This window comes from Homo sapiens, chromosome 12 (genome assembly GCF_000001405.40).
Source record: "Homo sapiens chromosome 12, GRCh38.p14 Primary Assembly".
NCBI classification, from domain to species: domain Eukaryota; kingdom Metazoa; phylum Chordata; class Mammalia; order Primates; family Hominidae; genus Homo; species Homo sapiens.
The window spans coordinates 45432650-45453357 of NC_000012.12; the positions used below are offsets into that span (position 1 = coordinate 45432650).

A 20708-nucleotide genomic window follows, 5' to 3' on the forward strand; every position below is an offset into this window, starting at 1 on the left:
TGAAATGTGTTAAAATATCTGCAATAGCACTTATAAATGTAGCATATTCCATTCATTTCCTTTTTAAAATACTCGTTATATGACCAATAGTGACCGAGAGGACGTAACTGGCAAAACTAGAAACGTCTTTCTCTTGCTGCCTTCTCTCTATAGGACACCTTTCCCAGAACCATTTAGGTTGTGTTCCCTGTCTCCCCTTCATTACTGAGAGGCAATATGTAAATGGACAATGGCCAGATCATATGTAAAAGCAGAACTCTATCCACACCCTGCCCCTGCTATCTGCAATAGTCAGCCCAGAGAGCCAGCCTGCAGTAGGTTATACTAACAAAGTCAGAGTGCTCTCTCCAGTTACAATCCAGGAAACTAAAGAATAACTTCTGTAACAATTGGCCCAATATGACCAGGACTTGATGAATAACTGACAGCTTCCCTAATTTTGGTCCCGGCTTATACCTTAGGACCAACCAGAGAAAGCCAAATATGCCCTGCTAATCATCGCATAGGATACCCGCTTCTAGTTAGCTACCTACAGCTTCCCACATCAGTGGCCTCCAATCAGGCATAGCGGAAGCCTTCCCACTCTTCTGCCTGCCTTTGAGTCTTTGTCAAAACACCAGTGAGAGTGGCTGACTCCCTTTGCTATAGCATGCTCTGAATAAATAGCCTTTCCTTCTCATGTGGATGGTCTTTGCTTATTTCCACATTATTACCGATACAAGGGCAGTGGATGTTTGCTGGGCAGTAGGACAAATACTCGAGTGCATTACTTTGGCAAACTCCTGCCCTTGGATCATACTGGGGTTGGTCAGGAGGGAGGTTGGTCATGATGACAGATAAATCCTGGGGAAATGTAGATTGGATCACTGGGAATGAAGCTGTGAACCTAACACGGTGAGTTTTGCCATTGATAAGCAATGGGGAACCTGTGGAGAACTTCAGAACGGAATGCTGTAGGCAAGAATGTGATCTTTGTCCCTGGTGAGGACTCATCTGCCTTCTCTCCTAAGCTCTCTCTTCTGATGTGCTCTTTGAGCCCTCGTCACCGTCACCGTTAAGATTCAAGGAGTTTGATAGCAGTTCTCACAATAGGGAGGCTGCCTTGCAGCATTCCTGAGGGGAGAAGGAGAACTGACCCCACCCAGAGCCTTCGGATTCCATGGAGCATTCAAGCATAAATGAAGGGGAAATCCTAGAATAACCTGCTGTGGCTGTGACCATTTCATTTTATTTGGGGAGATGTTTTCCTTTGGTTATGAAACAGATTTTACAAATGCTCTTAATAGCATTTCCATTTCCCAGCAGAAAACAAAGATAAGACAGGTAGCCCTTTAAACCCCTTGCCTCATTCCCGAAAACAGTTCAGCACATGGGATCCTTTACAATGCTGGAATGATTTGATTTTTGTCACTTTACCAACTGGAAGATACGCCTGAGATCGGTCTTGCCCTTCATTTCTCATAATTTCACCTGTTCTTGGCCATAATCAAACCTAGTTCTTCTAATTAGAACCACTTCGCACAGGAACTCAAGCAAGTAGACTGTGATTCCTAATACCGTTCAGGGTGGATAAGCACATTTATGTTACAAAATACCCTGCCATTACTTTCTTTCTTGTCATTGTCGCTTGAGGTGAGTCAGAGTGATAAATCGCTGTCAGTCACCTAAGAGGAAGCTGCAGGTAAGAGGCCTGCTCTGTGGTACAGAACATGCTACAGCCCTGGAAACAAGCGACAGCACTGGCTGCAACAAAATTCACGGGCTGACCACACCGCTGGGCTTTTTCTCCCCTACTTTGTCTTTAAATCAAATCAAATTTTACCTTCAAGTATTTTGGTTCCTTTGGGACAATCAATATTCACCATTGCAGGGCTCTAGCTTCAAGATCAAAATCTTACAGCAACCCTTTTCCCAGGACTGGGATAGAAGAGGAAGGAGGGAGGCAGTGCAAAGAATCCAGGGAAATAAAAGACAATTAAACAAAGGGAAATCTCTCTGGAGACTCCAACAATTAACAGAAGGCTCCCTGTCCCTCATTTCTGCTCTGTGGGAAACCTCTGGGTATAACTAAGAAAAAATATTCCATTTCAATTGCTCCCTAAAAGACTGAAAAGCAAACATATGTAAGGAGCAGCTCCCAGGAAATTGTTTAAATGCTCTTTTCATTGGTGGTGGTGGGGCAAATACAACACCAGGAGCTCTCATGGGATCCCATAGAGAACTATCACATAAACACTCACCCTTCATTAATAATGAGGCAGGTTAATGCGTTCTTGAGACCTCTTCTTCAGTCTCCTTCATGAGGATAAATCATTGCATTGCCTTCCTTGTTTTAATCTAGGAAATTGCACTGAAAGCCTAGAACAGAACTTTTCCCAGACAATATTCTTCCACATCATCTCTTGAAGCTCTATTACCTGTTCAATGTGAACAGTGTAATTCCTAATACTTGATTATGGCACTCTCTATTATAAAATGAATGGATCCCTGGATGTCTCCTCAGAGCTTTTTCCCTGGGTTTTCCTATTGTATTCAGGGCTCCAACCCTTGGCAGTTTGTCAGCCTGGATAATTCCACAATATTATTGTCTTCCAAAGCTTGTCTTTCTTAACATATCCAGTCATGGGCAACTAATTGCTTACTATAAATTCCACCACTTTAGCTGCTGCACCTAATAGTAAAAGAGAGAGCACACCAGTGTCCTGCTCACAAACCACCCCTCAGTGCAGCCCAGTTTCTGCCAGGATGGCCAGTCTGTTACAAACATATCTTTGTATCAGTCCTCCAAACATTTTCTTAGGAACTCTTTGACCAAGCCATGCTATGCAAACTAAGCCACATCTTTGTCATCTGTGAACCAGAGCCTGAGGCAAATGTACTCCCCTTCCTTCCCACCTACCCTGCATATTGTAAATGATGAGAAGGAAAGGAAACTTTGGGGTAAAAACTGAAGGTTTTAATCTTCTGATCTAAGTATCTTAAGAATATAGTTGGCATCATCAAAAACATACCATGTTTTAATTAGGCTGGACAAGTACATTTAGAGTACAACACAAACTCACTGAAAAAAAAAAATGAAGGCAAGGTCTGGGGCAAAGACAGCATCGATGGTGGTTTTACCTGGGTTCAAGGCAGCCTGCCTATGATATGGGAAAAGACATAAGATTTAGAAATAGAGGACCTTGATTCAAGTCCTGGATCTGCCACTGGCCAGCTTCATAAATTTTAGCAAGTTAAGAAACTGAATATACAAATGGACAATGGCCAGAGCTTATATAAAAATAGATCACTGACCCTCAGCCTGCAGCAACCTGCCCAGGAAACTAACCCCTTTATCTACAATCAGCCCAGGAAGCCAGCCTACTATAAGTCAGACTTGTAGGAGGTCAGAATGCTATGTCTAGTGACAAACCAGGAACCTAAACAACACCTCTCTAACAATTGGCCCAGTATGACCAGGACTTGATGAATAACAGCTTCCCTAATTCCAGTTCCTGCTTGTACCCTAGGACCAACCAGAGAAAGCCAAATATGCCCCCCTAACCATAACATAGAATGCCCACTTCTGCTTAGCTGCCTACAGCTTCCCCATGCCAGCAGCCACCAATCAGGGCATAGCTGAAGCCTTCCTACTCCTCTGCCTGCCTTTGAGTCTCTGTCAAAACACAAGTGACAGTGGCTGACTCCCTTGCTATAGCAAGCTCTGAATAAATAGGCTTTGCTTGTTCTCATTTGGCTGATCTTTATTTCCACAAAGGCATTTAACCTCTCTAGGCTCTAACTTCCTAATCCATAACAATGGGGCTTGTTTCCACTACTTGGCGTCATTATGAAGTCCCTAATGTCTATGCTTCTCACCCTGGATTCAGGGTGTATAAGAAACCACAGGATCAACATGAGTAATCCCCTTGGAGGTGAATGTTTCAATGATTAAAGGAGAAATGGTCGTATTAAAACAAACACAGATATATTTTGAAATTGCATGCAAAATTCAAATGAATGTTTAATATAAAATAACAATCTTTAAATAAATTCCAGCTGGGCATGGTGGCTCACGTCTGTAATCCCAGCACTTTGGGAGGCCGAGGCTGGTGGATCATCTGAGGTCAGGAGCTAACGACCAGCCTGGCCAACATGGTGAAACCCTATTTCTACTAAAAATACAAAAAATTAGCCGTGTGTGGTGGCAGGCACCTGTAATCTCGGCTACTAGGGAGGCTGAGGCAGAATTGTTTGAACCTGGGAGGCAGAGGTTACAGTGAGCTGAAATTGCGCCATTGCACTCCAGCCTGGGCAACAAGAGTGAAACTCTGTCCAAAAAAAAAGAAATTCCACACTTACAGTAAGCTGCTTCATCTAGGCCCCAGGGTTATACCTTAACCTTCCTCTGTCCTCAGTGAAACCTGTGTGGAAAAGACAAGGGTTGACATATGTTGAAAGCACCTTGTCAGCCATGAAATTCTAGAACAGTGTTCTCAAAGTGTGGTCTAGATTCCCCTGGGAGGGTCTAAGTCCTTTTCAGGAGGTCCACAAACACAAAACTATTTTCCTAATAACACAAAGACATGATTTGCCTTTTTACTGTCATTCTCTCACGAGCATAGAGTGGAGTTTCCAGAGGCTCCATGACATGGAACATGGGCATAGACTGAATGCAGGAGCAGGTATGAGCATCTAGCCGCTTGCTGTTAAGCCAGACATTAAAAATAAAAAACAATGCCACTCTTCTCACTAGATTATTTTGAAAAGTACATTCTTTTCCATTACAACATTTTATGTTTTACATGCAATGGGCTTATTCTTATTTTAAATTTTTTTTAATGTTCTGTTTTCATTTCTAATACAGTAATTTCTAATTCTAATACAGTATTTACTATATTCATACATATGATTCATACAAACAAAGGTTTTTGTGGGCTCTCATAACTTTTTTTTTGAGAGACAGAGTCTCGCTCTGTCGCCCAGGCTGGAGAGCAGCGGCGCAATCTCGGCTCATTGCAACCTGTGCCTCCCAGGTTCTAGCAATTCTCCTGCCTCAGCCTCCCTAGTAGCTGGGATTACAGGTGCACATGCCACGCCCAGCTAATTTTTTGTATTTTTAGTAGAGACGGGGTTTTACCATGTTGCCCAGGCTGGTCTCAAATTTCTGAGCTCAGACAATCCACCCACCTTGCCTCCCAAAGTGTTAGGATTACAGGCATGAGCCACCACACCCGACCTCAAAACTTTTAAGAGTGTAAAATTGTTCTGAGAACCACTGCTTTATAAAAATTTGGACCAGAGCTAATCATAGCATTTACATTTAAGTTGGCTAGTAAAACTTCAAGCACGAGGGTAGCAAAAAAGACCAGCGCAGTCTTTCCACTCTCTATGCATGTGAAATCCATTTTCTGGTCAATGCCAACCTCTAGTAAAGCTCTGTCTCTGATGCAGGGTCTGCGCTGGTGCTTCCGCTCAGGCAAGCTGCCTCATCCTGCCCAATGCCCACTGAGCTCTTGGTCTTCCTCATTTCCTAGTTGTCCATCCTGGGCTACATAGTGTGATAAGGCCTGCTGTGGTTTCTTTTGTGTATCCTGCCACATTCAGCACATATTTGCGTGTATGTGTGTGTGTGTGTGTGTGTGTGTATGTATGTGTGTGTAAGATATATATACACACATATATATTTCATTCCAAGCTGTTTTCCTGGAAATCCTGGAGTCCCAGAAAAGGACATGTGATCAGCAATACAGATTGAGCATCCCAAATCCAAAAATCTGAAATCCAAAATGCTCCAAAATCAGAAACTTTTTGAGTGCCAATGTGATGCCATGAGTGGAAAATTCCACATCTGACTTGATGTGGCAGGTCACAGTAAAAATGCAGGCACCCAAAACACACTTTGTTCAGCATCCCCAAGAGAAAATAAAATTACCTTCAGGCTATGTGTATCAGCTGTATGTGAAATACAAATTTTGTGTTTAGACCTGGGCCCCATCCCCAAGATATCCTATTACGTATATGTAAATATTTCAAAATTCAAAAAAATCTGTAATTTTTAACACTTCTGGTCCCAAGGATATCAAATAAGGGATATTCAACTTGTAGTAGTGTGACTAGTGTGCAAAAAGTGATCAGAACTATAAATCCTGGTGTCATCTAGAGGCCCACTGCAAAAACATGACCCACATTGATCCTGTAAGCCATATGCAGGGAGTAATTCCATTAAAGATATTTCTTTCAAACAGGGAATATTGTGTATTAATTCAGTATTTATAGCACACTTGGAAAAGAGATGTTCAATAAATACTTGTTGAATTAATGAATAAATGCCTCATCTGTCCTGATAATAGATTTTCTAACCAAAAGATGTAGGAAGTATATCCAGGAAAGTAGCATAATGTTAAGAATGACAGTTGCTTGCTCAAGTCACCAAATCAAGATGAGTAAAGCTTGGTTTGGTACAATGGCTAGTCAGAAGTCCTGATGGTGAGCTGTGAGGACTATGAGGAAGTGTCACCTGTGTGTCTTGAGTATAGATGCTGCTACTTCTCCAGCCACCAGCCCACCACTGAAGTGAGTCACAGTCCAGGATGCAGTTACAGTAGCCTACTAGAGTGGGCTGATGCCAGCGCTTAATCACAGGTCACACAGAGGCCAACGCAAAAGGCCATTGAAATGGATCTGGGACTCTGAATTTCTCAATCCCCATATCAAAACACTGCATCGAGCAAACTCCCAAACTCATCTGCGGTGTGGTTCTCATGAACTAATTCCCATCTGGTCTGCCCAGTTGGAGACAAACCTAAGCAGGAGGCAAATCAAACAAGGCTATCATGATATTGATGCCCTGTTACTCCTTGTCCATGGGAGAATGGTAAAAGGCAGTCTGTCTGGACATGAGGGCATTTGAATTTGGACCTTTAAACAAATTCTCAAAGGTAAATACTAACACTCATTTTCATTCAGCTTACCTGAAGACAATAATTACCAGAGTATTCAAGATATGATTTAATTGCTTTTTTTTTTTTTTTTTTTTGAGACAGTATCTCGCTTTGTTGCCCAGGCTGGGACACAGTGGCATGATCTTGGCTCACTGCAACCTCCGCCTCCCAGTTGACTGCTGTATGTGTTATAGGTTTGTCGATGAAATTAGACTTTTGGAACAACTAACTTCTGACTTTATTGACTCCCTCTATTATATATTTTCTATTTCAATAATATCTATTTTCTTTTCTGTTACTTTCTTTTTCCTTCTACTTTCTTTGGGGCCAACTCCGTGTTTTTCTGTATCGAATTTCTTAAGTTAGATTTATTCAATAATTCATTCAACAAATATTTGTGTGTCTATTATGTGGCCAGCATTGTTTCATGTGCTCAAGATAGAGTAGCATTGTTTGGCTCATTAATATTCCAATACTGGCATTTAAGACCATTAATTTTCCTCTAAATCGTATTTGAGCTGCAACCCACAAGCTTTTATATGTATAGTTTTTTGTTGTTGCTATTATTAAAAGTATTTTAGATCCTCCCTTGTTTTGCTTTTCAATCTGAAATGCCTTCATGCCATTTTAATTTTTAAAAGGTAATTTAATTGAGCCTAATTTCTTTTTCTTTTTTCTTTTTTTTGAGACAGAGTCTTACTCTGTCACCCAGGCTGGAGTGCAGTGGCGTGATCTCAGCTCAATGCAAGCTCTGCCTCCCAGGTTCACGCCATTCTCCTGTCTCAGCCTCCCAAGTAGCTGGGACTACAGGCGCCCACCACCATGCCTGGCTAATTTTTTTGTATTTTTAGTAGAGGCGGAGTTTCACCATGTTAGCCAGGATGGTTTTGATCTCTTGAATTGAGCCTCATTTCTTTTTCACCTAAGTTGCTTTGTTGTGTGATTTGAAATCTGTAAGACTGCCCTTATATTATCAAGTCTAACCTTAAATGCATTAAAGCAAGAAAAGTTTCTGTATACTCTAATACTGATTTTTTGACAGTTATTGAGATGAGTTTTGAACTGACATATAATCTGTTTTTGTGAAGGTTTCATGTGTGTGCTTAAGAATATATTTCTTGAGGACATCGGCAAGATGATAGAACAGGAAGTCCCAGGCTCCCATTTATTTATTTATTTATTTTTTGAGACATAGTCTCACTCCCAGGCTGAAGTGCAGTGGCACGATCTCAGCTCACTGAACCTCCACCTCCCAGGTTCAAGCAATTCTCCTGTCTCAGCCTCCTGAGTAGCTGGGATTACAGGCATGTACCACCATGCCTGGCTAATTTTTTTTTTTGTATTTTTAGTAGAGACAGGGTTTCACCATTTTGGCCAGGCTGGTCTCCAACTCCTGACCTCGGATGATCTGACTGCCTCGGCCTCCCAAAGTGCTGGTATTGCAGGCGTGAGCCACTGCACATGGCCAGACTCTCATTCTTCCAAGGAAATATCTAGTAAACAACTAATGACTAAAATAGCTTTATAGGAGCCCTGGAGACCAAAGATCTGCAGCAAACAAGTAAATGTCCAATCAAAAAAAAAAAAAAAAAGCCATACTCAAAATGGCAGTAATATTGCGGCATTTTAGCTCAACCTTGCCCTACCTTCTCTCTGGCATGGCATTGTTGGGAGGAAGTGGCCCATTTTCTGGCTCCCTCTTGCAGGATGAAAGGAAAAGTGTGAAACTTGTTTGCAATATTCTGACCTGTCTGTGGGCTGACCATGGAAATGATTTCTATATAATCTAACCCAGAGTTCAGATAGAAATGCCAGCATCGTTTGGATATCAGGTTGGAAAACATTGATGGCAGTGGTGGGTGCCATGGCATGTGAAGACTGCAGGGGGACTTCTGACTCATGAACATCTGGAGATAAGAGATTGCAGAAAGAATAATGCAAGAGTTCCAGGCCCTGAGAAGAAGCAGGGATGAGATTCTTAAGGAAATTAAGACATTTAAAAGCAGCTATATATATAGGAGAATGAGGTTGGGGTGGGAGGGAAGCATACAAACAGACCCAGAGAATGTGTTTGCTGACAAAAGATCTGAGAACAACTTAAGCCTTCATGCTGGCCTTATGAGAAGGTATACCATCTCCCTTACAGAGACAGTCAGCAAAGACTAGGAAAGGTGGCCGTTTTTCAAATGCCCAATTTTCAACCAAAGCAAAATCACAAGTCATACAGAGAAACAGAAATATGACTCATTCAAAGGAAAAGAAATTTCCAAAACCAACCCTAAAGAAATACAGGCTTTGGACTTACTAGACAAAGACTTTAAAACAACTGTCACAAATAAGTTCAAATAGAAATTTTTTTAATAACCAAATTCTGGAACTGCAAAACAAACACTGAATTGAGAAAATATATTAGAAGTGTTCATCAGCAGATAAAAACAGGAAGAAGAAAGAATCAGCAAACCTGAAGACAGGTTATTGGAAATTATCAAGTCTGTGTAGCAAAAGAAAAAAGAAGAAAGTGAATGGAGCCTAAGGGACTATGGGATACCATCAAGCCAACCAAAATATACATTAAAGGAATCTCAGGAGAATAGAAAGAAAGGGGTAGAGAGTTTATTTGAAGAAATAATGGCCAAAAGCTTCCCAAATTTGAGGAAATACATAGATATACAAATACAAGAAGCTGAACAAGCTCCAAGTAGAATAAACCCAAAGAAAACTACACTGAGACACATTATAATCAAGCTATCAAAAGACAAAGACTGATTCTTGAAGGATGACTACCAGAAGCTGGGAAGGGAGGTAGGGAATTGGGGCAGAAATGGGGATGGTTAATGGGTACAAAAAGTAGTTAGAATGAATAAGACCTAGTATTTGATAGCACAATAGGGTGGCTATAGTCAATAATTGTACATTTAAAAGTAACTAAAAGAGTACAATTTGATTGTAACACAAAGGATAAATGCTGGAAGTGACAGATCCCCCTTTTGCCCTGATGTGATTATCACACACTGTATACCTGTACCAAAATATCCCAAAATATCATATATATATATATATATATATATATATATATATATATATATACACCTACTATGTACCCACAAAAATTTTAAAAGAAAATTTTTAAAAGAGATTCTTGAAAGTAGCAAGAAAAAAGCAAATTGTCACATACAAGGGATACTCAGTAAGACTATCAGATTTCTCAGCAGAAACCATGCAAGCCAAAAGGCAGTAGGATGATATATTTAAAGTGTTGAAAGAGAAAAGAACTTCACCAATAATTCTATATCTGACAAAACTATTCTTCAAAAAATATGAGAGAAATTAAGAAATTTCCAGAAAAGCAAATAAAGAAATTTATTTCCACCAGATCTGCCCTACAAGAAATGCTGCAGTGATTTATTCAAGTTTAAATAGAGGCATACTAGACAGTAATTCAAAACTGCATAAAAATATAAAGTTCCTTGGTAAACACATGAACAAATACCAAAACCAGTATTATAATTTTGGTTTATAATTTCACTTTTTCTTCCTTTACAGGATATAAAAGCAAAAGCGTAAAAAATAAATCTATATTAATGCTACACAATAGGTCTGGGCACAGTGGCTCACACCTGTAATCCCAGCACTGTGGGAAGCCAAGGCATGTGGATCACTTGCGTCCAGGAGTTTGAGACCAGCCTGGGCAACATGGTGAAACCCTGTCTCTAAATACAATAATAATAATAATAATAATAATCATCATCATCATCATCATCATCATCATCATCATCATCATCATCAGCTAGCTGTGGAGGCTGAGGTGGGAGGATTGCTTGAGCCTGGGAGGTGCAGGTTGCACTGAGCCAAGATCTCGCCCCTCCACTCCAGCCTGGGCAGGAGAGAGGGACTCTATTTCAAAAAAAAAAAAAAAATAGTTGCACAATATATTAAAATGTAATGTGTTATGTTAATAACATAAAGGGGCATAGCTCTAGAAGAGTAATATTTTTATATGAAACTTAAGTTGGTATCAGTTTAAAAATATTGTTATAATTTTAGAATATTTTAGAATATTGTTAGAATTTAGAATATTTATATAATTTTAGAATATTGTTATAATGGTTACCAGAAAGAAAATATCTATAGAATATATGCAAAGGAAAATGAGAAGGTAATCAAAAATGTGTCACTACAAAAATAATTAAACATAAAGGAAGGCAAGAAGGAAGGAATGAGGGACAAAGAAAACTATAATACTCACAGAAAGAAAATAACAAACTACCAATAGTGAGTCTTGCCCTATCAGCAATAACTTTAAATGTAAATAGGTTAAACTTCCCAATCAAAAGACATAGATTGGCCAATTAAATTTTTTAAAATATGATTCTACTATATGCTATCTACAGGAGACTCACTTTAGATCTAAGGACATGCTTAGGTTGAAAGTGAAAGATGGAAAAAGATATACTATAAAAATAATAACCAAAGAAAGCAAGGATGGCTAAACTAATATGAGACAAAATAGGCTTTAAGTCAAAAACTGTTACAAGACACAAATGTTGATATTATGTAATGATAAAAGGGTTGATTCATCTAGAAGATATAACAATTATAAACATATATAGCAAACTTCAGAGGTCCTAAATATATTAAGCAAACATTGACAGAATTAAAAAGGAGAAAAAGATCTATAATTATAGTAAGACACTTTAATACCCCACCTTTTATTAATGATAGAACAGCTAGACAGCATATAAGACAGAATATAAGGACACAGAGGTCTTGAACAACATTAAAGACCAATTGGACCTAACAGACATACATAGAATATTTTATCCAACAAAGCAAAAAAAACACATTTTTTCTCAAGTATATTTGGAACATTATCCAGAAAAATCTACATGTTAGGGCATGAAATAAATTAAAAAAGACTGAAATCATACAAGTTATCTCTTCCAACCACTATGGAATGAAACTGGAAATCAATAGCAGAAAAAAATGGGAAAATTTACAAATATGTAGAAATTAAACAATACTCTCTTATACAACCATTGGGTCAAAAAATAAAGGAGAAATTAGAAAATATCTTGAGACAAATGAAAATGAAAACACAACATACCAAAATCCATGGGATGCAGCAAAAGCAGTGTTAATAGGGAAATTTGTAGATGCAAACAAACATATATACTCAAAATGAAGAAAGAGAAAATGGCAACCTTCAGCTAGGTGTGCATGGAAATGGTCCTAATTCATGCCTCTGGCCTGCTGCTGCAGCAGCAGCTACCTGGGGCTTGTGCAGCCAAGGGCCCAGCCAGAACACCCAGTAAGGCTCTCTCACTTCCTCAGAAGAAGGAAGATATTCATGATTACAATGATATAGACATGGCATGTCTTCTGGTAGAGTGGGAGAAGGATGATGACATAAAAAAAGATCTTCCAGAGCACAAGAGACCCTCAATACCTATCAATTCTTATATATCAACCTGGGCAAGCCTGAAAGCACGTTGAAAATGATGAAAGAAGGGAAGATTCTTATATGTTTGTCGCTGTATCAGGAACCCCACTGAGAAAGAGAGACGAAATCATGAGCCTCTGTCAGGGCAGTCTTTTCAATGCTAATGAAATGTCCAGAGGTTCATTGTGGGATCAGACCATACTATCTTCATGCTTCATGATGGAAAATATGCCTGGGAGATCAAGAACTCTTGTCAGTGAAGACAAGTGTGCTGACGCACCTCTGGAGGGACAGGTGTTCCCTGGCAAAGGAGAAGGAAGGAAGCAAAGAGAAAAATAAAGACAACATTGAAAAGAAGAAGAAAAGAGATCCAAAATCTTGGGCTTTCAATGAAGACAAGCTGGAAATAGCAGAGAAGACCTGTAACAGGGCAGCCACGGTGGTCTGCGGAAAAGTAGATGGACACACAGAGCTCCTAGCTGGGCTCATGTGGTTGGGACTGGTGCAGGAAACTGCACACAGGATGACATTCTAGTTTCTTCTAGAAAGAGTCTGCCACATGACAAGTTTTGTGGTCAGTGTAAGAATTATTGTTTAAAAGGCTTCAAATACACCCATTGAAAAAAGTGGCATGCCACTGTAAACTCCACGGGACAGCTGAAAAACTGTGAGTTCTCAAAGTGTGAGAGGGGATAAGTCTGCCTCCAAACACACATCCCCACTGGGGAACCAGAAAATCCAGATCAAGGGAGAAGGATTTAACCTACCTAGAGCTGAAATAGATTTAGGGAACCCAGTGAAATATAAAGGTAGAAGAAGCAGTGGGAAGAGTTCTATAGGCACTCCCATTTCCCAGCTTGAGCCCAAGGAAGCCATCCCTGACTTTACCTCACAGAGATCCTTGGGGAAGGTAGCCAGCAAAATTAGGGAGAGGCCACAGGGTGAAAGAAGCTTCTAGCTGAACTTTGTAATAATTTCAACTGAGCACTAATTTTCCTGAGCAGAATCCAGGGGATGAATCAAGTGCAGGTACTAGCACAGAAGCTGCAGCTGATGGTGCAGGCAGGCAGGGAGGGTCATGGTCTGAAAGACCTGCTTGCTTTCTCAGTTGAGAGGCTTGTAGCCTGGGGCAAGATCTCAGCCATATCCACCAGCTGCCTGGATATAAACTCAGCACTGCTGGCAGGGCATGGTGGGAGTAAGACTGGCCTTGCTGGCTGTGTGGGAGCTGGGTCAGGCCTGTCACTGCCAGCTTTCCCTCACTTCCCTGGCAACCTGCATGACGCAGGAAGGGCAGCTGTAATCCCTCTTGGAACATAACTCCATTGGCCTGAGAACTACCCCTCCATCCCACACAATGACTGCAGCAACCCCCACCCAAGGAGAGTCTGAGCTCAGAACCACCTAACCCTGCCTCCACCTGATGGTTTTTCTCTACCTGCCTTGGTAGCCAAAGACAAAAGACAAACTCTTGGGAGCTCTATGGCCCCTCCCATTGCCTGACAAACCTGAATACTTATCCTGGACAACTCAGGGCAAACTTATATCCACCTTATACTACTGCAGCTGGTACTCTCTTGAAAGCACCACCTCCTGACTGGAGGCCAACCAACTCAAGCCATTACAGCAACTCATAACAGAACAACGATGCTCCAAAGAAGGAGAAAACAACAGCTAATTCCACTGCCTGCAACATCTTGGCTAACCAGAGGTCCTGAGTCTGTCCATGTAATTATGTCACTGCCAGCATAACCAGCATGTAAGGAAACCAGTGCACAAAACAAAACTACAAACAAGGACTCAGAGAATCCACTTCACAATTCACTCCCCTGCCACCTCCACCAGAGCCGGTGCTAGTATCCATGGCTGGGAGACCTTAAGATAGATCACATCACAAGATTCTTTGCAGATATTCCCCAGCCCCAGCCCAGAGCCCAGTAGCCCCACTGGGTTGCTAGACTCAGAAGAGCAATAACAATCACTGCAGTCTGGCTCTCAGGAAGCCCATCCCTAGGGGAAGGGGGAGAGCACCACATCAAGGGATCACCCCATGGGACAAAAGAATCTGAACAGCAGCCCTTGAGTTCTAGATATTTCCAATGAAACAGTCTACCCAAATGACAAGGAACCATAAAAGTAATTCTGGTAGTATGACAAAACAAGTTTCTAGAACACCCCCAAAAAGATCACACTAGTTCTCCAGCAATGAATCCAAACCAAGAAGAAATCTTAATTGCCAGATAAAGAATTCAAAAGGTTGATTATTAAGCTACTCAAGGAGGTACCAGAGAATTGTAAAAACCAACTTAAACAATTTTTTTTAAAAAAATACAGGATATGAATAAAACAGTCTTCAGAGAAATAGATGTCATAAAGAAAAAACAATCACAATTTCTGGAAATGAAAGACACACAGAGAAATACAAAATACACTGGAAAATTTCAACAATAGACTAGAACAAGTGGAAGAAAGAACTCCAGAACTTGAAGACAAGGCTTTTGAATTGACCCAATCTGACAAAAACAAAGAAAAAAAAATTTTTTAATGAACAAAGCCTCCAAGAAATTTGGGATTATGTTAAACAACCAAACATAAGATTAATTGCTGTTTGTGAGGAAGAAGAGAAATCTAAAAGTTTGGAAAAATTATTTGAGGTAATAATCGAGGAAAACATCTCTGGCCTTGCTAGAGATCTAGACATCTAAATACAAGAAGTTCAATGAACACCCTGGAAATTTATTGCAAAAAGATCATCACCTAGGCACATAGTCATCAGATTACCTAAAGTCAATAAAAAGGAAAGGATCTTAAGAGCTGGGAGGCAAAAGCATCCAGGTAACATATAAAGGAAAACCTATCAGATAAACAGCAGATTTCTCAGCAGAAACCCTACAACTTCAAAGGGTCCTATCTTTAGCCTCTTTAAACAAAATAATTATCAGCCCAAAATTTTGTATCCAGCAAAACTAAGCTTCATAAATGAAGGGGAGATAAAGTCTTTTTCAGACAAACAAATGCTGAGAGAATTCACTGCTACCAACTGAGCACTACAAGAAATGCTAAAAGGAGATATAAATCTTGAAACAAAACCTTGAAATACACCGATATACAACCTCTTTAAAGTGTAAATCTCACAGAGCCTATAAAATATTAACACAATGAAAAAAACACAAGGTATTCGGGCAACAATTGGCATGATGTAAATGGCCTAAATTCTCCACTTAAAAAATACAGAATGGCAGAATGGGTAAAAATCCACCAACCAAGTATCTGCTGTCTTCAAGAGACTCACCTAACATGTAAGGACTCCCATAAACTTAAAGTGGTGGAAAAAGATATTCCATGCAAATGGAAACCAAAAGTATGCAGGAGTCGTTATTCTTATATCACAAAACAAATCTCAATAAATTTAAGAAAATAAAAATTACATCAAGTACTTTCTCAGACCACAATGAAATAAAATTTCAAATTAACTCCAAAGGTACCCTCACAACTATACAAATACATGGAAATTAAATAATGTGCTCCTGAATGATCTTTGGGTCAACAATACAGTCAAGATGGAAATTAAAACATTCTTTGAACTGAGCAATAATAGTGACCTATCAAAACCTCTGAGATACAGCAAAAGTGGCGCTAAGAGGAAAGTTCATAGCCTTAAATGCCTACATCAAAAAGTCTGAAAGAGCACAAACAGACAATTTAAGGTCACACCTCAAGGAACTAGAGAAACAAGAACAAACAAAACCCAAACCAAGAGAAGAAAAGAAATAACCAAGATCAGAGCAGAATTAAATGAAACTGAAATGAACAAAAAAATACAAAAGATAGATGAAACAAAAAGCTGGTTCTTTGAAAAGATAAACAAAATTGATAGGCCACTAGTGAAATTAACCAAGAAACTAAGAGAGAAAAACCAAATAAGCTCAATTGGAAATGAAATGGGAAACACCAAAACAGTATGGTACTGGTATAAAAATAGGCAGATAAACCAATGGAACAGAATAGAGAACCCAGAAACAAAGTCAAACACTTACAATCAGCTGATCTTCAACAAACCAAACAAAAACATAAAGTAAGGGAAAGGACACACTATTCAACAAATGGTGCTGGGATAATTAGCAAGCCACACAGAACAATGAAACTGGATCCCATCTCTCACCTTATACAAAAATCAACTCAAGATGGATCAAAGACTTAAATATAAGACCTGAAATCATAAAAATTCTAGAAGATAACATCAGAAAAGCTCTTCTAGACATTGGCTTAGACAAAGACTTCATGACCAAGAACCCAAAAGCAAATGGAACAAAAACAAAGACAAATAGATGGGACTTAATTAAACTAAAAAGATTCTGCACAGTAAAAGAAATAATCAGCAAACAGACAACCTGCTGAGTAGGAGAAAATATTCACAAACTGTGCATCCAACAAAGGATCAATATACAGAATCTACGAGGGACTCAAATCAGAAAAAAAAAATCCCATCAAAAAGTGGGATAAGGATATGAATAGACAATTCTCAAAAGAAGATATAAAAGTGGCCAACAAACATAAGAAAAAATGCTCAACATCACTAATTATCAGGGAAATGTAAATCTAAACCACAATGCAGTACCACCTTACTCCTGCAAGAATGGCCATAATTTAAAAATTAAAAAATAATAGATTTTGGCAGGGATTTGGTGAAAAGCGAACACTTTTAAACTGCTGGTGGAAACATAAACTAGTACAACCACTATGAAACATAGTATGGAGACTCCTTAAAGAACTAAAAGTAGAACTACCATTTGATCTGGCAATCCCACTACTGGGTATACCCCAGAGGAAAAGGAGTCATTATATGAAAAAGACACTTGCACATGCATGTTTAGAGCAATACTATTTGCAATTTCCAAAATATGGAACCAGCCTAAATGCCTATCAATCAGTGAGTGGATAAAGAAAACATGGTATATATACACCATAGAATAATACTCAGCCATAAAAGGACAAAATAATGCCATTTACAGCAATCTGCATGGAGTTGGAGACCATTATTCTAAGTTGATTAACTCAGGAACGGAAAACCAAATATTGTATATTCTCACTTATAAGCAGGAGCTAAGCTATGAGGATGCAAAGACTACACATTGGGTACAATGTACACTGCTTGGGTGATTGGTGCACCAAAACCTCAGAAATCACCACTAAAGAATTTATCCATGTATCCAAATATCACATGTTCCCCCAAAAGTACTGAAATAACTTTTTAAAAATAAGAGTTAAATTTAAAAAAAAAAAGATAAGAATTGACCAAATTCCAACCAAAAAAGACAATAGAAACAGACTTAGAGACCTAAATAATGAAATTAACAGATATAGACCCTGAAACAACTGCAATTAATGTTTTAAAAAATAACAAGATAGAGAATTGTGACAGAGGATTAGAAAGTATAAAACAGTAAACATAAATGTTTGAAATAATGGATATGCTGATTACCCTGATTTGATTACAACTGTATACATGTATCAAAATATCACTTTGTATCTCATAAATTGTACAATTATTGTGTCAACTAAAATTTTTTTAAATAAAAAAGGTTTCAAATAAGAAGACAAAGATTTTCTAATTATATTGAACTCTGACAAATTCATGTTTACTATAAAATCATCTTAAATAGAAAAAAAGATTTAAATGAACACCCTAAATTTATGCCTTAATGAGGAACCAGAAAAAAGACCAAACTAAACCCAATGCTAGCAGAAGAAATAATAAAGACTCAAATAAGTAAAATCAGAAATGAAAAGGGGGACATTCCTACCAATTTTTACAGACAGAATAAAAAGATTATGAGAGTACTATGAACAACAGATTGAATATCATAGATGAATTGGACAAATTTTAGAAACACACGACCTAACAAGACTGAATTGTGAAGAAACAGAAAATATTAACATATCTATAACTAGCAAGGAGACTGACTCAGTAATGAAAAACCTCTTGTCTAAGAAAAGCCCAGGACCAGGAAATTTTACCGGTTAATTCTACAATACATTGAAAGAAAAACTAATGCCAATCTTCCTCAAACTCTTCCAAAAATTAAAGAGGAGGGAACACTTCCAAACTCATTCTATGAGCCCAACATCAACTTGATACAAAATCCAAAGGCACGACAAGAAAAGAATTAATTAATTAATATTGATGCAAAAATCCTCAAAATACTAGCAAACAGAATTCAGCAGCACATTAAAAGGACTGTACATTATGATCAAGTGGGATTTATTCCTGGAATGCAAAGGATATCTTACCATATGAAAATCAGTCAATATAATGCAACACACTAAGAGAACAAAGGTGAAAAAAACAAACCAACCACATGATCATCTCAATTGATATAGAAAAAGCATTTGACAAAATTCAATACTGTTTCATGATGTAAATACTCAACAAACTAGGAATAGAAGGAAGCTACCTCAGCATAATGAAGGTCATATATTGAAAGCCTACAGCTGCATCACAGTCTATGGTAAAAGATTAAAAGCTTTTCCTCCAAATTCAGGAACAAGAGAAGGATGCTCACTTTGCCACTTCTAGTCAACATAATACTAGAAGTCCTAGGTAAAGCAATTAGGAAAAAAAAAAAAAGAAAAGAAAGGGCATCCAAGTTGGAAAGGAGGAAGTCAAATTATCTCTGTTCACAGACAATATGATCTTATATGTAAAAAACCCTAAGGATTCCACACACACCCCAAAAGCTGTTAGAACCAATAAATGAATTCAGCAAAGTTGCAGATACAAAATCAAAACACAAAAATCAGTTGTATTTCTACACACAAACAAAGAAAAATCTAGAACAATTAAGAAAACAGTTCCACTTACCATAACATTAAAAAGAATAAAATACCTAGGAATAAATTTAATGAAGCAGGCAAAATACTGTACACTGAAAAACTATAAAATGTTGCTGAACTAAAAAAGACACCAATAAGTGGAAAGACATCTCACGCTCATGGAGTGGAAGACTTAATTTTGTAAAGATGTCAATATCACCTAAAGAAACCTACAAATTCAATGCAACTTCTATTAAAATCCCAACAATTTTTGCAGACATAGAAAAATCCATCCTAAAATTCATATAAAACTTCAGTGGACCACGAATAACCAAGACAGCCTTGAAAAAGAACAAAGTTGGAGGTCTCACACTTCCTGATTTCAAAATACCACAAGCTTACAGTAATTAATCAAAATAGACATACAGACCAATGGAATAGAAAGAGCCAGAAATAAACCTTCTTATGTATGGTCAAATGATTTTCAACAAGGGTGTCAATTCCCAATTCAATGGGGGGAAAAGACAGTCTTTTCAACAAACGGTATTGTGAAAACTGAATATCTACAAGAAAAGAATGAAGTTGGATCCTTACATAACACCCTACACAAAAATTAACTCACAATGGATCAAAGACTTAAGTGTAAGAGCTAAAACTATAAACTCTTAGAAGAAAACATAGGAGAAAAGTCTCGTGACATTGAGTCTGACAATGATTTCTTAAATATGACACCAAAAGGCACAGACAACAAAAGAAAAAAGACTAAATGGATTACATCAAAATTTAAAACTGCTGTACACCAAAGGACACTATTTTTTTTTTTTTTTTTTTTGAGATGGAGTCTCGCTCAGTCGCCCAGGCTGGAGTGCAGTGGCGCGATCTCGGCTCACTGCAAGCTCTGCCTCCCGGGTTTAAGCCATTCTCCTGCCTCAGCCTCCCAAGTAGCTGGGAATACAGGCGCCCGCCACCACGCCCGGCTAATTTTTTTGTATTTTTAGTAAAGACGGGATTTCACCGTGTTAGCCGGGATGGTCTCGATCTCCTGACATTGTGATCCGCCTGTCTCGGCCTCCCAAAATGCTGGGATTACAGGCGTGAGCCACCAAAGGACACTATTAACAGCATAAAAAGGCAACCCACATGATGGGAGAAAATATTTGCAAATCATATGCCTGATAAGAGATTAATATCCAGAATATATAAATAACTCCTACAAGTTTACAACAGAACAATAACCCATGAAACAATTTAAAAATAGACAAAAGACGTGACTAGCTATTCCTCTTAAAAAGATATAAAATGGCCAATAAGCACATTTTTAAAATGCTCAGCATCACTAATCATTGGAGAAATGCAAATCAAAACCACAATGAGATATTACCCAACACCCATTAGGATAGCTACCATTAATAAAAAATAACAAAAATAATAAATATTGTCAAGGATGTGGATAAATGGGAACCCTTGGTATTGCTGGTGAGAATGTAAGATGGTGCAGCCACTGTAGAAAACAGTATGGCCATTCCTCAAAA

The 20708-nt window shown here is 38.6% G+C and overlaps 1 protein-coding gene, 1 long non-coding RNA gene and 1 pseudogene across 2 annotated transcripts in view, besides 2 other annotated features; 2 read left to right on the top strand and 1 right to left on the bottom strand.

Annotated features, from left to right (window-relative positions):
• Positions 1 to 7755, top strand: part of ANO6 (anoctamin 6) — a 224310-nt gene extending 216555 nt beyond the window's left edge. Inside the window, exon 20 of the mRNA NM_001142679.2 lies at positions 7026 to 7755. Coding sequence (NP_001136151.1) covers positions 7026 to 7289 — 264 coding nt within the window. The 3' untranslated portion in view covers positions 7290 to 7755. The remainder of the gene's footprint in view (positions 1 to 7025) is intronic.
• The window catches only part of LOC105369743 (uncharacterized), a 178153-nt gene that overhangs the window by 41958 nt on the left and 115487 nt on the right, over positions 1 to 20708 (bottom strand). The gene's annotated exons all lie outside the window — the stretch shown is intronic.
• Positions 124 to 1032: an enhancer, noted in NCBI's record as "OCT4-NANOG-H3K27ac-H3K4me1 hESC enhancer chr12:45826556-45827464 (GRCh37/hg19 assembly coordinates)". NCBI's record gives its function as "activates a minimal SCP1, AML or CMV promoter by ChIP-STARR-seq in primed H9 embryonic stem cells {active_cell/tissue: H9 hESC(primed)}" and the evidence as "EXISTENCE:reporter gene assay evidence [ECO:0000049][PMID:30033119]".
• Positions 1033 to 1939: an enhancer, noted in NCBI's record as "OCT4-NANOG-H3K27ac-H3K4me1 hESC enhancer chr12:45827465-45828371 (GRCh37/hg19 assembly coordinates)". NCBI's record gives its function as "activates a minimal SCP1, AML or CMV promoter by ChIP-STARR-seq in primed H9 embryonic stem cells {active_cell/tissue: H9 hESC(primed)}" and the evidence as "EXISTENCE:reporter gene assay evidence [ECO:0000049][PMID:30033119]".
• MESDP1 (MESD pseudogene 1) lies at positions 12147 to 12786 on the top strand (annotated as a pseudogene).